Source organism: Homo sapiens, chromosome 14 (assembly GCF_000001405.40).
Source record: "Homo sapiens chromosome 14, GRCh38.p14 Primary Assembly".
Classification (NCBI taxonomy): Eukaryota; Metazoa; Chordata; class Mammalia; order Primates; family Hominidae; genus Homo; species Homo sapiens.
The window spans coordinates 60,435,438-60,452,960 of record NC_000014.9 but is presented as its reverse complement, the minus strand read 5'-3'; the positions used below and the strand labels follow the sequence as shown (position 1 = coordinate 60,452,960).

The 17,523-nt window shown below is 37.4% G+C and overlaps 1 protein-coding gene across 13 annotated transcripts in view; it reads left to right on the top strand.

Annotated features, from left to right (window-relative positions):
• C14orf39 (chromosome 14 open reading frame 39) overlaps positions 1 to 17,005 on the top strand; it is a 79,589-nt gene extending 62,584 nt beyond the window's left edge. For all 13 annotated transcript variants that reach the window (XM_047431324.1, XM_017021250.3, XM_017021248.3 and 10 more), the window contains 2 exons: positions 10,830 to 10,887; positions 15,914 to 17,005. In XM_047431324.1, coding sequence (XP_047287280.1) covers positions 10,830 to 10,887; positions 15,914 to 16,116 — 261 coding nt within the window. In that variant the 3' untranslated portion in view covers positions 16,117 to 17,005. The remainder of the gene's footprint in view (positions 1 to 10,829; positions 10,888 to 15,913) is intronic.
• Positions 17,006 to 17,523: the final 518 nt, after the last annotated feature.

Genomic DNA, 17,523 nt, shown 5'->3' with positions numbered 1-17,523 from the left:
GAGTCTTAATGAATTTAAAAGGATTGAAATCAGAGTATGTTCTCTGACCACAGCAGAATTAAATTAGAACTCAATGTGATATCTAAGAAAATCCTAAATATGTAGGCCATAGATCAAAGAAGAAATCATGAGATAAATCAGAAAAAAATTTTATTTATTTTTAATTTTTATGGGTGCATAGTAGATGTATATATTTATGGGGCTCCCTAAGATATTTTGATACAGGCATGCAATGTGAAATAATCATATCATAGAAAGGGAGAGTATCCATCCCCTCAAACATTTATTCTTTGTCCTACAAATAATCCAGTTATACTTTTAGTTATTTTAAAGTGTACAATTAAATTATTTTGACTATAGTCACCCTATTGTGCAATCAAATACTAGATCTTATTAATTCTTGCTATGTTTTTGTACCCATTAACCATTCCCACCTGTCCCCAGTCCCCCGCCCCCAACCTTTCCCAGCCTCTGGTAATCATCTTTCTACTCTCTATCTCCATGAGTTCAATTGTTCTTATTTTTAGGTCCCACAAATAAGTGAGAATATGTTGTTTGTCTTTCTGTGCCTGACTTATTTCATTTAACATAATGACCTCTAGTTCCATCCATGTTGTTGCAAATGACAGGATCTCATTCCTTTTTTCCTTTCTTCCTGTCTTCCTTTAAGTGAAGATGATTTTCTCTGATGGTGAGATTTAATTTCTTGCTTTTTATTTTTGGTGTATCCATTGTCTCTTTTTCGATTGTGGTTACCATGAGGCTTGAAATTCTATCTTTTTTTTTTTTTTTTTGAGATGGAGTCTTTGCAGTTGGCACAATGTCGGCTCACTGCAACCTCCACCTCCCAGGTTCAAGTGATTCCCCTGCCTCATCCTCCCGAGTAGCTGGGACTATAGGCGTGTGCCACCATGCCTGGCTAATTTTTTTTTTTTGTACTTTAGTAGAGATGGGGTTTCACCATGTTGGCCAGGATGGTCTCGATCTCCTGACCTCGTTATCTGCCTGCCTCAGCCTCCCAAAGTGCTGGGATTACAGGCGTGAGCCACCATGCCCAGCCTGAGATTCTATCTTTTAACCCATTATTTTATTTTATTTTTAATTTTTAAAATTTCTCTATTTTTATTATACTTTAAGTTCTAGGGTACATGTGCACAATGTGCAGGTTTGTTACGTATGTATACATTTGCCATGTTGGTGTGCTGCACCCATTAACTCGTCATTTACATTAGGTATATCTCCTAATGCTATCCCTCCCCCCACCCCCTACCCCATGACGGGCCCTGGTGTGTGATGTTCACCATCCTGTGTCCAAGAGTTCTCATTGTTCAATTCCCACCTATGAGTGAGAACATGCGGTGTTTAGTTTTCTGTCCTTGTGATAGTTTGCTCAGAATGATGGTTTCCAGCTTCATCCATGTCCCTATAAAGGACATGAACTCATCCTTTTTATGGCTGCATAGTATTCCATGATGTATATGTGCCACATTTTCTTAATTCAGTCTATAATTGATGGAATTTGGGTTGGTTCCAAGTCTTTGCTATTGTGAATAGTGCCGCAATAAACATACGTGTGCATGTGTCTTTATAGTAGCATGATTTATAATCCTTTGGGTATATACCCAGTAATGGGATTGCTGGGTCAAATGGTATTTCTAGTTCTAGATCCTTGAGGAATCACCACACTGACTTCCACAATGGTTGAACTAGTTTACAGTCCCACCAACAATGTAAAAGTGTTCCTATTTCTCCACATCCTCTCCAGCACCTGTTGTTTCCTGATTTTTTAATGATTGCCTTTCTGACTGGTGTTAGAAATCACCAGGACTGGTCCCTGGTGATTTTTCTAGTTCATTTGGTGAGTTCATGTTTTCCTGGATGATCTTGATGCTTGTAGTTGTTGTTGGTGTCTAGGCATTGAAGAATTAGGTATTTACTGTAGTCTTCACAGTCTGGGCTTGTAGTGCCTGTCTTTCTTGAGGAGGCTTTCCAAGTATTCAAAGGGACTTGGGCTCCAAGCCCAATAACGCTGTGCTGTTTGCAGACTCAGAGAGGTACAGCCTTGGTGGTCTTGGATAAGATCTGGAAGGATTCTCTAGATTACCAGGCAGAGACTTGTTATTTTCCCTTGATTTCTCCCAAACAAATGGAGCCTCTCTCTCTGTGCTGAGCTGCCTGGAGTGGGGGGAGGTGTGGCCATCTCGACTAGGACTGCACTGGGCCATTCCTGAAGCCAGCATAGCATTGGGTCTTGGCTAAGGCCTTCTGTAACCACTACCTGGCTACCCGCTGTGTTCACTGAAGGCCCTAAAGCTCTGTGATCAGCAGGTGGTGAAGCCAGCCAGATTTGTGTCCATCCCTTCAGGTGGCTAGTTCCCCTGGCCCTAGGCAGGTCTAGAGATGCTGTCTAGGATTTTGGGATTGGAGTCAAAAACCTTAGTAATTTGCCCAATGTTCTACTCTACTGTGGCTAAGCTGGCACTCAAACCACAATACAAAGTCCTTCCTGCTCTTCCCTCCCTTTCCACAGGCAGAGGAGCCTCTCCCTGTGGCCCCCACGACCATCAGCTCATGGTGGGGGTCTGCCAGGACACTGCTGATATCCACTCGAAGCCCAGTGGCTCTTCAGTGAATGATGCCAGGCATGGGATCTCACCCTTCAGGGTAGTGGGCTCCCCTCTGGCCCAGGGAAGGTCCAGAAATGCTGTCCAAGAGCCTAGGCCTGAACTCAGGGACCCCAAGATCATGCTTGTTCTACTCCACTGTGGCTGAGCTGGTACCTAGTGTGCAAGATAAAATGCCCTTTACTTTTTCCTCTGCTTTTCTTAAACAGATGGGGTCTTTTACCATAGCCACCATAGCTGGGAATGTGCTGGGTCACAACTGAAGCCAGCACCTCTCAGAGCCCAAGGCCCACAGCATACTACCTGAGTATCACTCCTGGTTATTCAGGGCCCAAGGGCTCTTTAGTCAGTGGGTGATTAATTCTGCCAGGACTGGGTCCTTCCCTTCAAGGCAGTGGATTCCCTTTTAGGAAGGATTTTAAACTGCATTAGGAAAATCCAGCCTATCAAAAATTATGGGATGTTGCAAAAGCCAGAGCAAAAAATAGCTTTAAATAATTTAGCTAATAATTACATAATAAAAAGAAGAAAGGCCTAAAATCAGTGACCTAAGATTTCATTTTGAGAATCTAGAGAAAGAAGAACTAAGCAAACCTGAAGTAAAATGAAGAAACAAAATAAGAGAAATCAGTGAAATGGAAAAACAAACAATAGAGGAAATTAACAAAGTCAAAGTTGATTATTTGAAAATAATTGACAAAATTGACAAAATCCTTATATTAGGAATGAAAGAGAGGATGTAATTATAAATCCTAAATATTATGAAACAGATTGGTGAGGGAAACTTACTTTCTAAATATTCAAACATCCTATAAGGTTAGAGTAATAAAGGGCATGATAACGGTTTTAAGGACTGATTGATCAATGGTATGGGCTAGAAAATCTTGAAACCAAAGATTTTATAATGTGATAATGATAGACTACAAATTAATAGGAGTAAATTACGCATTCATCTTACACTGTACGTCAATAGAAGTTACAGATGCATTAAATTATATAAGAAAATGTTAACAATATATTTCTGAAGAAATATAGGTGAATATTTACCAAATCTTAGGAGGAAGGATTCTCTAAGCATGAAAACGGTGGAAGAAGAAGCAAAAGAAAATAATTGGGTTTGATTACATACAAAATCTAAACTTCTTTTTTTAAATTATGCTTTAAGTTCTAGGGTAATGTGCACAACATGCAGGTTTGTTACATAGGTATACATGTGCCATGTTGGTTTGCTGCACCAATCAACTTGTCATCTACATTGGGTATTTCTCCTAATGCTATCCCTCCCCCAGCCCCCTACTCCCTGACAGGCCCCAGTATGTAATGTTCCCCACCCCGTGTCCATGTGTTCTCATTGTTCAGTTTCCACCTATGAGTGAGAACATGCGGTGTTTGGTTTTCTGTCCTTGTGATAGTTTGCTGAGAATGATGGTTTCCAGCTGCATCCATGTCCCTGCAAAGAACATGAACTCGTCCTTTTTATGGCTGCATAGTATTCCATGGTGTATATGTGCCACATTTTCTTAATCCATTCTATCATTGATGTTGATGGACATTTGGGTTGGTTCCAAGTCTTTGCTATTGTGAATAGTGCCACAAAAAACATACGTGTGCATGTGTCTTTATAGCAGCATGATTTATAATCCTTTGGGTATATACCCAGTAATGGGATTGCTGGGTCAAACGGTATTTCTAGTTCTAGATCCTTGAGGAATTGCCACACTATCTTCCATAATGGTAGAACTAATTTACACTCCCACGAACACTGTAAAAGTGTTCCTATTTCTCCATATCCTCTCCAGCATCTGTTGTTTCCTGACTTTTTAATAATTGCCATTCTAACTAGCATGAGATAGTATCTCATTGTGGTTTTGATTTGCATTTCTCTAATGACCAGTGATGATGAGCATTTTTTCATGTGTCTGTTGGCTGCATAAATGTCTGCTTTTGAGAAGTGTCTTCATATCCTTTGCCCACTTTTTTATTTTTTTTCTTATAAATTTGTTTAAGTTCTTTGTAGATTCTGGATATTAGCCCGTTGTCAGATGGGTAGATTGCAAAAATTTTCTCCCATTCTGTAGGTTGCCTGTTCACTCTGATGATAGTTTCTTTTGCTGTGCACAAGCTCTTTATTTTAATTAGATTCCATTTGTCTATTTTGGCTTTTGTTGCCATTGCTTTTGGTGTTTTGGTCATGAAGTCCTCGGCCATGCCTGTGTCCTGAATGGTATTGCCTAGGTTTTCTTCTAGGGTTTTTATGGTTTTAGGTCTTACATTTAAGTCTTTAATCCATCTTGAGTTAATTTTTGTATAAGATGTAAGGAAGGGATCCAGTTTCAGCTTTCTACATATGGCTAGCCAGTTTTCCCAGCACCATTTATTAAATAGGGAATCCTTTCCCCGTTGCTGTTTTTGTCAGGTTTGTCAAAGATCAGATGGTTGTACATGTGTGGTGTTATTTCTGAGGCCTCTGTTCTGTTTCATTGGTCTATATGTCTGTTTTGGTACCAGTACCAAGCTGTTTTGGTTACTATAGACTTGTAGTATAGTTTGAAGTCAGGTAGTGTGATGCCTCCAGCTTTGGTCTTTTTGCTTAAGATTGTCTTGGCTATGCGGGCTTTTTTTGGGTTCCATATGAACTTTAAAGTAGTTTTTTCCAATTCTATGAAGAAAGTCTTTGGTAGCTTGATGGGGATAGCATTGGATCTATAAATTATCTTGGGCAGTATGGCCATTTTCACGATATTGAGTCTTTCTATCCATGAGCATGGAATGTTCTTCCATTTGTTTGTGTCCTCTTTTATTTCATTGAGCAGTGGTTTGTAGTTCTCCTTGAAGAGGTCCTTCACATGCCTTGTAAGTTGTATTTCTGGTATTTTATTCTCTTTGAAGCATTTGTGAATGGGAGTTCACTCATGATTTGGCTCTCTGTCTGTTATTGGTGTATAGGAATGCTTGTGATTTTTGCACATTGATTTTGTATCCTGAGACTGCTGAAGTTGCTTATCAGCTTAAGGAGATTTTGGGCTGAGATGATGGGCTTTTCTAAATATACAATCATGTCATCTGCAAACAGAGATAATTTGACTTCCTCTTTTCCTATTCGAATACCCTTTATTTCTTTCTCTTGCCTGATTGCCCTGGCCAGAACTTCCAACACTATATTGAACAGGAGTGGTGTGAGAGGGCATCCTTGTCTTGTGCCCGTTTTCAAAGGGAATGCTTCCAGTTTTTGCCCATTCAGTATGATATTGGCTGTGGGTTTGTCATAGATAGCTCTTATTATTTTGAGATACGTTCCATCAATACCTAGTTTATTGAGAGTTTTTAGCTTGAAGGGGTGTTGAATTTTGTCAAAGGCCTTTTCTGCATCTATTGAGATAATCGTGTGGTTTTTGTCATTGGTTCTGTTTATGTGATGGATCACGTGTATTGATTTGCATATGTTGAGCCAGCCTTGCATCCTAGGGATGAAGCCAACTTTATTGTGGTGGATAAACTTTTTGATGTGCTGCTGTATTGGATTTGCCAGTATTTTATTGAGGATTTTCACATTGATGTTCATCAGGGATATTGGTCTAAAATTCTCTTTTTTTGTTGTGTCTCTGCCAGGCTTTGGTATCAAGATGATGCTGGCCTCATAAAATGAGTTATGGGGGATTCCCTTTTATTCTATTGATTGGAATAGTTTCAGAAGGAATGGTGTCAGCTCCTCTTTGTACCTGTGGTAGAATTTGGTTGTGATTCCGTCTGGTCCTGGACTTTTTTTGGTTGGTAGGCTATTAATTATTGCCTCAATTTCAGAATCTGTCATTCGTCTATTCAGAGATTCAACTTCTTCCTGGTTTAGTCTTTGGAGGGTGTATATGTCCAGGAATTTAAGCATTTCTTCTAAATTTTCTAGTTTATTTGCATAGAGGTGTTTTTAGTATTCTCTGATGGTACTTTGTATTTCTGTGGGATCAGTGGTGATATCCCCTTAACATTTTTTATTGCATCTATTTGATTCTTCTCTCTTTTCTTGTTTACTAGTCTTGCTAGCAGTCTATCAATTTTGTTGAATCCAATGCTGGATTCATTGATTTGTTGAAGGGTTTTTTGTGTCTCTAGCTCTTCAGTTCTGCTCTGATCTTAGTTATTTCTTGCCTTCTGCTAGCTTTTGAATTTCTTTGCTCTTGCTCCTCTAGCTCTTTTAATTTTGATGTTAGGGTGTCGATTTTAGATCTTTCCTGCTTTCTCTTGGGAGTTTTTAGTACTATAAATTTCCCTCTACACACTGCTTTAAACGTGTCCCAGAGATTCTGGTACGTTTTGTCTTTGTTCTCATTGGTTTCAAAGAACGTCTTTATTTCTCCCTTCATTTTGTTATTTATCCAGTAGTCATTCAGGAGCATGTTGTTCAGTTTCCATGTAGTTGTGGGGGTTTGAGTGAGTTTCTTAATCCTGAGTTCTAATTTGATTGCACTGTGGTCTGAGAGACAGTTTGTTGTGATTTATGTCCTTTTACATTTGCTGAGGAGTGTTTTACTTCCAATTATGTGGTCGATTTTAGAATAAGTGCAATGTGGTGCTGAGAAGAATGTATATTCTGTTGATTTGGGTTGGAGAGTACTGTAGATGTCTATTAGGCCCATTTGGTGCAGAGCTGAGTTCAAGTCCTGGATATCCTTGTTAACTTTCTGTCTTGTTGATCTGTCTAATATTGACAGTGTTGTGTTAACGTCTCCCATTATTATGTGGGAGTCTAAGTCTCTTTGTAGCTCTCTAATGACTTGCTTTATGAATCTGGGTGCTCCTGTATTGGGTTCATATATATTTAGGATAGTTAGCTCTTCTTGTTGAATTGATCCCTTTATCATTTTGTAATAGCCTTCATTATCTCTTTTGATCTTTGTTGGTTTAAAGTCTGTTTTATCAGAGACTAGGATTGCAACTCCTGGTTTTTTTCCTTTCAGTTTGCTTGGTATATCTTCCTCCATCTCTTTGTTTTGAGCCTATGTGTGTCTCTGCATGTAAGATGGGTCTCCTGAATACAGCACAGTGATGGGTCTTGACTCTTTATCCAATTTTCCAGTCTGTGTCTTTTTATTGGGGCATTTAGCCCATTTGCATTTAAGGTTAATATTGTTATGTTTGAATTTGATCCTGTCATGATGTTAGCTGGTTATTTTGCCCGTTAATTGATGTAGTTTCTTCATAGCATCAATGGTCTTTACAATTTGGCATGTTTTTGCAGTGGCTGGTACTGGTTGTTCCTTTCCAAGTTTAGTGTTCCCTTCAGGAGCTCTTGTAAGGCAGGCCTGGTGGTGACAAAAATCTCTCAGCATTTGCTTGTCTGTAAAGTATTTTATTTCTCCTTCACTTATGAAGGTTAGTTTGGCTGGATATGAGATTCTGGCTTGAAAATTCTTTTCTTTAAGAATGTTGAATATTGGCCCCCACTCTCTTCTGGCTTGTAGGGTTTCTGCTGAGAGATCTGCTGTTAGTCTGATGGGATTGTGGGTCTGATGGGATTCCCTTTGTGGGTAACCCGACCTTTCTCTCTGGCTGCCCTTAACATTGTTTCCTTCATTTCAATCTTGGTGAATCTGACAATTATGTGTCTTGGGGTTGCTCTTTTCGAGGAGTATCTTTGTGGTGTTATCTGCATTTCCTGAATTTGAATGTTGGCCTGCCTTGCTAGATTAGGGAAGTTCTCCTGGATAATATCCTGAAGAGTGTTTTCTAACTTGGTTCCATTCTCCCCGTCACTTTCAGGTACACCAATCAAACGTATATTTGGTCTTTTCACATATTCCCATATTTCTTGGAGGCTTCGTTTGTTTCTTTTTACTCTTTTTTCTCTAATCTTGTCTTCTTGCTTTATTTCATTAATTTGATCTTCAATCACTGATATCCTTTCTTCCACTTAATCGAATCGGCTATTGAAGCTTTTGTATGTGTCCTGAAGTTCTTGTGCCATGGTTTTCAGCTCCATCAGGCCATTTAAAGTCTTCTCTACGCTGTTTATTCTAGTTAGCCATTCGTCTAACCTTTTTTCAAGGTTTTTAGCTTCTTTGTGATGGGTTAGAACATGCTCCTTTAGCTCGTAGAAGTTTGTTATTACCGACCTTCTGAAGCCTGCATCCATCAACTCGTCAAAGTCATTTTCTGTCCAGTTTTGTTCCATTGCTGGCAAGGAGCAGCAATCCTTTTGAGGAGAAGAGGCACTCTGGTTTTTTGAATTTTCAGCTTTTCTGCTCTGGTTTCTCCCCATCTTTGTGGTTTTATCTACCTTTGGTCTTTTATGTTGGTAACCTACAGATGGGGTTTTGGTGTGGATGTCCTTTTTGTTGATGTTGATGCTATTCCTTTCTGTTTGTTAGTTTTCCTTCTAACAGTCAGGCCCCTCAGCTGCAGGTCTGTTGTAGTTTGCTGGAGATCCACTCCAGACCCTGTTTGCCTGTGTATCACCAGTGGAGGCTGCAGAACAGTAAATATTGCAGAACAGCAAATATTGCTGCCTGATCCTTCTTCTGGAATCTTTGTCCCATAGGGTCACCTACCTGTTTGAGGTGTCTGTCAGCCTCTACTGGGAGATGTCTCCCAGTCAGGCTACATGGGAGTCAGGGACCCACTTGAGGAGGCAGTCTGTCCATTCTCTGAGCTTGAATGCCATACTGGGAGAACCACTGCTCTCTTCAGAGCTGTCAGACAGGGACATTTAGGTCTGCAGAAGTTTTCTATTGCCTTTTGTTCAGCTGTGCCCTGCTCACAGAGTTTGAGTCTATAGAGGCAGTAGGCCTTGCTGAGCTGTGGTGGGCTCCCCCAGTTCAAGCTTCCTGGCTGCTTTGTTTACCTACTCAAGCCTCAGCAATGGCAGACACCCCTCCCCCTGCCAGGCTGCAGCCTCACAGGTCAATCTCAGACTGCTATGCTAGCAGTGAGCAAGGCTCCTTGGGCATGGCACTCACCGAGCCAGGCACGGGAGGGAATCTCCTGGTCTGCTGGTTGCTAAGACCTTGGACAAAGTGCAGTATTTGGGCGGGAGTGTACTGTTTTTCCAGGTACAGTCTGTCACAGCTTCCCTTGGCTAGGAAAGGGAAATCCCCCAACCCCATGCACTTCACGGGTGAGGGGACGCCCTGCCCTGCTGCAGCTCACCCTCTGTGGGCTGCACCCACTGTCCAACCAGTCCCATTGAGATGAACCAGGTACCTCAGTTGGAAATGCAGAGATCACCTGTCTTCTGTGTAGATCTCGCTGGGAGCTGCAGACCAGAGCTCTTCCTATTTGGCCATCTTGGAAGCGACCCCAAAATCTAAACTTCTATATGTTAAAAAATCTTAAGGGCAAAATGACGAAGATGTAAAATATTTGCAATAAGATTGCAAATAGTTAATTAACGTCTCTAGACTATAAAGTGCTTATATGTACCAATAAGGAAAAAATTACTTTCTCAATAGAAAAATGAGCAAAGTCCATTTGACAAAGAGATAATTCACTGAAAAAGAAATTCAAGTGGCTTATAAAATCTATGAGAAAACAGCTTTCCTTATTAATTGTCAAAGAAACATAAATCTGTGCATAACAGTGTTTATTCACATGTGACTTCTATATAAAAAACAAAGTTGGGACAACTTACATGTCCAGTATTAAAGGATGGTTGAAACTGTCTGGTTTGTCTATGTGGAGGAATATTATAGAGCCATGGAAAGAGTCAGATTTTAGAAGAATAATGACATGGACAAATGCTCACAATGCAATGTGAAGAGGAAAAAGGTGCACAGAAAACTATGCTGTCATGATCTCATTTTTTTTAAAAGCCTGTTTTACTGATAAAATAGACTTTTGGCAGCAAAACTTGATCTCAACTGACATGAAGCTATCCACTTCCTGTTACTTTTATAGGCAAAAAAAATACCAACAACCTGATTTGTTAAAAGCTTTCAGAATAAAGCAAAATATCATATTAAGATTCTAAAGTAAGAGCTATCTTTAGTACAGTGTATTTTGCCTGAATCAAATCAATAGACCTTATTTTAATATAAGTAAATGACAGGTTTTGAAGATAGATCTTTTTAAGTATAAGAGTGTGCTATATAAAGGTACCATATGTCTACTTTAATTCTGTGTGTTAGAAGAACTAAGCTTTAGATTCAAATATATGTACTATATATACTGTCCTACTGATTTCACAAGTAATATTTAATGGAAATTATTTTCCAGTTTAATGAACATTATTCTGCAAGAAATCTAAATCCTCTGTCATCAGAGCAAGAGATTGGTAAGTTGTTTGAAGTTTGCTACCTTTAAAAACATGTTAACTCATTAGTACAGTATTTAGTTTCTCTAACTTATTTTCTTAGGTGCTCAATTTATTCTTTAGAAATTACTGTTACTTCTGCACTACTCACTGATATTCTTTTCTTTCTTTTTCAAGCAATTAGCTTTTCTCACTACTCTATTAAAACTTACTTTCTCCAAGGTTATTGACCTCCCAATTATCAAACATTATGGGTATCTTGTATTTATTATCATATTAAGACTCTTTGCAACATCTGATATAATTGGTTATTTCCATCTTTTTTCTGTAATTTTTGGATTTCCTTTTCTCTCTTTGATACTTTTTATTGGATATTCTTTCTTCATTTTTCCTTTGATTGATTAATTCATTCAACATATTAATATAAATATGTACGTGTATTATATTTTATATCAGGTATGCTTTTGGGCTGTGGTGACAGTGGACAAGAATGAAAAATTCTCATATGGTTTATGTTCCAGTGGGATAAACTGAAAATAGTCAAATAAATCAATGTATAATTTATCAGATAGTACACTAAACAACAGTTGTTATGGGCTTGAATAGTCAGACTCACATATTATGATTTTAAATCTAATATTACCTTTATGTTGTAGAATGATACAAGATAAGAGATAATGGTAGGTACAGCATCCTTGTTTCATTGAGAGGATCACCAACTACCCAAGTAATACACCTTCTTTTGCCACTGCCACCCAAGGAACATGTCAGGCTGCTATGGACAAAAGGCATGTTGCATGTAGGTCACCTTGAAACACAAGAGCTGTAACTTCAATTTCACACCAGTCTTTTATATTATTCTAGTCATGAGGCCCAAGGCCTGTATGCTAACTCATAGCTCCTCTAATTCAGGTGCAGTCTCACACAGCAGACTAGATAGATAAAACATTCTGTGTTTACCTTAATTCTGTGAAAACAGTGCTGTGGGAAGTCAGGCTCCAAGGTCATTTTCCAGGTGGGCCCGAATCTTCCCAGGCTTGATGTTAATTTTTTACTTATTGTTGGTGATAAATACTATGCAGCAAAGTAATGTAGAGTAAGGGAAATAGGGAATACTTGGATTGGGAAGGTGATTGCCGTATTGCAAGGAGTCAGGAAAGGCATCACTAAAAGTCAACATTGAGCAGAAGGAGGTGCATATACAAGCTACTGGGAAAAGTGTTCCAAGCAAAGGGCAAAAAGGTCTTGAAATGGGAACATACTCAGTATGTTCGTTGAAAATTAGTTAAATTGGTATGATTTATGGAATAAGGAAGGAGAGACTGGTGGGAGATTAAATCCAAGAGGTGGATGGAGAGCAAATCATGTGGGACCTGTAGATCATTAAGGACTTAGGGTTTTTTTTCTGAGTGAAATGGGAAACCTCTGGAAGGTTTTAAGTAAAGGACTGAAATGATCTGACAGGTTTTAAAAGAATTATTCTGGCTGCTATGTGGAGAACAGACTGTATGGAAACAAGGGCAAAAGCAGGGAAAGGTCAGGAAGCTATAAAATGATACAAAGTGAGAATTGATGAGTAGTAGTAGTAGAAGTGGTGAGAACATGTCAGATTTTGGTTACAAAGTTTTCTGAAGATAGAGCTGGAAGAATTTGCTTATGGACTGGATATAAGGATTGAGAGAGAGAAACAAAGATTGTGCCATGGTTTTGACATGAATAACTTGGAATGGAGTTGCCATTTATAGAAATATGGAAGGCTCTAAGCGTAATTTGAGATTGAGGAGACAGGGGTTTCATTTAGGAAGTGTTTTAATTGAAAAGCCTATTTATTAGATACGTAAGTGAAAGTAAAGTAGGAAATTGTACATATGAATTTCGAATTCAATGAGATGGAGACACAGATTTTGGAATTTTTATAAATGGTATTTAATGCTATGAGATCAGAATGAATCTACCAATTGTATTTATTAAATGTCTGCCATCTAAAAATTTAAATCTATTTACATCCTCTTTTTTTTTGAGACAGAGTTTCGCTCTTGTTGCCCAGGCTGGAGTGCAATAGCACTATCTCGGCTCACGGCAACCTCCGCCTCCTGGGTTCAAGCAATTCTCCTGCCTCAGCCTCCCGAGTAGCTGGGATTACAGGCGCCCAGCACCATGCCCAGCTAATTTTTTGTATTTTTAGTAGAGACGGGGTCTCACTATGTTGGCCAGGCTGGTCTCAAATTCCTGACCTCAGGTGATCCACCCGCCTCGGCCTCCCAAAGTGCTGGGATCACAGGCGTGAGCCACCGTACCCAGCCCACATCCTCTTTTTTGACATTCTCATTCATTTGACACTCATTCACTTCAGTGTTTTCAAATATAATACATACAGATAATGAACAAATTTATATCTTGCTGCACTGACTTCTAAACTCTAGGACCTTATTTCTGATTGTACAGTTTAAATCTCTTTAGACATCTTTTGACATTAAAAACTCAGTGTAGCTGAAATGAAACTTGCTCTCCTTCTGACGTCCCTGATGGTATCTCCATTATTCTGGCTTTTAAGGTTTGGAGCATGGTAACAATTTTAACTTCTCTCTGTGACTGTGACTACATTCAACTAGTCATTAAGTTTTATCAGTTCTCTCTCTTAAATATTTATTTTTATTTTCTATTTTCATTGAAACCATTATATTTCAGTCTTACTGTTCACCTGGACTGTTACAATATCATCCTAATTGGTGTTTTCCATTTTTCAGCTTACCTATAGATCACAGCTTAATTAATCTTCAGTGCCCATAATGTTGGCCATGTCACTGCCCTAATCAGTTACCTTCAGTGACTCCCCCACTGACTATCAAATTATGCTTCTACTTTTCTAATTTAGCTCCAACTACCTGTTTCATTTTTTATTGGTATATAGTTGTACATATTTATGGGGTCCATGTGATATTTTGATACCTGCATACAATGTGTAATGATCAAATCAGGGTAATTGGAATATCCATCACCTCAGACGTTTATCATTTCTTTGTGTGGGGAATATTCCAAATCTTCTTTTCTAGCTATGTCAAAATACACTATAAATTCTTGTAAACCATACTACTACTCTAGAACTTATTCTTAAATTCCGTACTAGAACTTATTCCTTCTGTCTAACTGTATTTTTATACTCATTAACCAGTCTCTATTCATCCCCCAACATACCTTTTAAGGCTTTTATCTTATAAGGGTAACCTGTGCTTTGGCCAGACTCTGGAACTCAGTGTGTCTCAAGTATGCCCACACTTTCTTACCTGCTTTTTACTTCTTGCAATCCCCAACTTCTATCTCTTTCTATCTTTCGAGATAGAATTCTCTTCCATAAAACCTTTTATTTATCCCCTCAATCTTCTTTTTCAAAAAGATCTCTCCCTCTCTTTTCTGAATATCTCTTCTTTTTTATACTTTTTACCATTCTACCATCATTATTTATAAATAGATATAAAATCTCCTCTAGATCACAGGTTTTTTGAGGACAAGGATTTTAAAATGTACCTTTGAATTCCCCATAGCACCTATAATGCTGCCTTGCACAGTAATGTGTTCTTTTATTTACAGTGATCATATGAGTTTTATGAAGACTTCATATGAACTTCTTGTGAAATTAAAAACAAAATCAAATTCATTTATTCAAAGGGAAATTCAAGATTTTAGCTCTTTTTGGATCCGTGTTTACATTATACCTATTTTTCTTTAAGTCATATGGCTGTGTACTGAGAAATACACATAGTCAAAAAAATAAAGTGAGAAAGGGAGAGGGGAAGAACACAAGTATCTGGTAGTCAGTCTGTCCATCTATCCATCTGTCTGTCCATCCATCCATCCACCCATCTTACTGCTGGTTGACTTGGTTCTATTTAGGGTGAAATAATTGAGATGTTTAAAAATAAAAATAAAGTTATTAAATATATGAAAGTTAAAAAATTTATGAAACATTCAAAGTGATGCAAATTATTTTGCTTAATATGCTATTTGATTAATTCTATATAAAAATAGATATTTAAAAAGACTTGTTTCAAGTACATATTTGATTACTATAGACTTAAAATTATTTAATGATAATTAATTTTAAATTAGAATTAGGATGTTGAAAATATATTTGTATATTTATAATTTTATTAATAAGTAATATAATAAGTGAAAAACAGTATTTTTCCTTAATGGCAATTCTGGGCTTCATCAACCAGAGCTACATTTAAAGCTTATTTTAAAAATTCCTTTTAGAACTCTTTTTAATGTTCTGTCAGTTTCCTTGAACAATGCCATGAGCAGTATATTGTAGTGACTCAATAAATAATAGTTGAATAAGTTTAACTTATACAGTATCTCTTAGATTCAGCATTTTTTCCTCCATTACCATCACTATGATTGTACCTAAGGTCAACATTTCATTATGTCTTCACTGGACAATAGACTTTTATTTTATTTTGGTTAGTCCCACTTCTAGACTCTCCTGTTCCAGCCTTTATACCTATTCTCTCCTGAGTAATACTTACAAAGCAGTTCAAATCATGTCATATCTCTGCTTGAAAATCTTCAATGAATTCTTGTTATCTACTAAATAAAGTCCAGATTCCATAGTGGGATATTCAGCAATCTTTCCAAGCTCATCTTCATTAATTTCCACTTAATACATCTTTATTATTTCTCACTGCTCCTGCTAAGCTGAATAGATTTCTGTTACTCTAATGCATCCTATGCATGTCTGTTTCTGTGCCTCTGTATCAGTCTCTTCATTTGAGGTGTTTTATTCTACTTTTTACTTTTTATACTAGTTCTTTATATACTAGAGTTCAAATTACTTGAAAACAGGGTTTAAGTTTGAGTCTGTTTTAACCTTCATAGTACCAAGGACAATGCCTTGCACTTAAGAGGAATACAATTAAATACCTGTATTCCTGTGTAACACTGATTCAGTGTTACCATATTTATTGTATGCAGTATGCTATAATTCAGTAGGTTATAAAAATTTTATATAATATGAAGAGCATGATATTGTAATGTTTATCTTCCTTAGGAAACTTACTTGAGAAGCCAGAAGGAGAAGATGGCTTTACATTTTCTTTTCCATCAGACACTTCAACTCATACATTTGGAGCTGGAAAAGATGATTTTAGTTTTCCATTTTCATTTGGACAGGGTCAAAATTCAATACCTTCTTCTTCTTTAAAAGGTTTTTCATCTTCCTCACAAAATACAACACAGTTTACTTTTTTTTGAGCTAGTCATTAATTCCTTAAATTATTTTACTGTTCTGTGTTCATGAGGGCATAAATTTACATTATTGCTTAAAACATGAAGACTGCTTTCTTTTATTGATTAAAGCAGTAATGTTTACATTATTTGATTATATTTATTGAAATATTGAAATACTGAATATTTTGGGTTTTGTGTGTGCTATTAACTAATCATTATTTATTTTGGTTTTGATTTTGCGAGCCGTGGTCAGGTAGAACTTTTATTAATCTTAATAGAATTTGATGCTTTTTTCATTACTCTTTATTTAAATATTAAGCCTGCTTCTCCTTGGAACCTAAGGTTTTTTTCTGGAAGTATTGTTGGTACTTTGATAAGAACAAGAACTGCAGTAGTAACTCCAGAGTTAGTGCTGAAGCGTACTTTAGCTACTAAAAATTTCTATTAAAATTATTGGGTTTCACTTCTGCTTCACTATGTAGTATACAGAGTGGTACTGTAATAATAATTTCAAATAATTTATGTTAATAACAAAATCTGTGTTATTTTCTTCTAATATAACACATGGTACAATTCTAATTTTATGAGTTATGCTAATGCTTTCAATGGCTAAAAATTAAATGTAAAGGGCAAGAGTAATTTCTGAAAATTGGATTGTTGTATCAGTGGTGATCCTGTTAATATTCTTTTTTGCTTAAATATTTTTTGAAGAACATTTACAATTTTGTCTCCTTCAATAACAAAAATTTCTTCTTTATGTTTTGTGTTCAGTATTTGTCAATTAATTATATAGCTTAAGTGAAGATATTTAAGATTTGATGAACTTCTGTAAACATTTTGCTCAATATCATTGTATTTTGTGCTTTGTAAATTAGCTGTACTGAGTTACCAAGTAATAAAGGGTTTGACTCCATATTTTGATGTGACTGTTGATGGATTTTTAAACCTAACCCCTTCTTTTCTCATTCTGCCCACATTTGGCCAAGCTGATCAGAAAGCCTGGTTGCTCCCTCCTTTGGTGCCAGTAGGAAGTTCAAACCACATATGGGAGCCCCCACCCAGCCCACCCCCTAACTACCATAAAAACCCAAAGCCAGTCTTCTTTCTCTACTTCTCAAGCTATTTTTCAGTTCAGGAGGCCTGCCCCGCTCTCCCCAGAAGGCCTTAATATATGACTAGAAAAATCTTTTCATGCCCTATTGGGATGTGTGGCATCATCAGTTTCAATATGCAAATCAAATTTTGGGTAAGGGTCTATACTGCTTCTTCAGGGTGTCTACAAATTATCACAGTTGTATTACATTAAGCTGTCTCGAAGACTTAAAAAGAAGGGCAATCTAACTAATGATAGAGTTTAAGAAAATTTTAGACTCTGTTAAAAAAAAAACCATCAAACATTCAACAACTGCTTAAAAGGTGAAAATTTCAGTT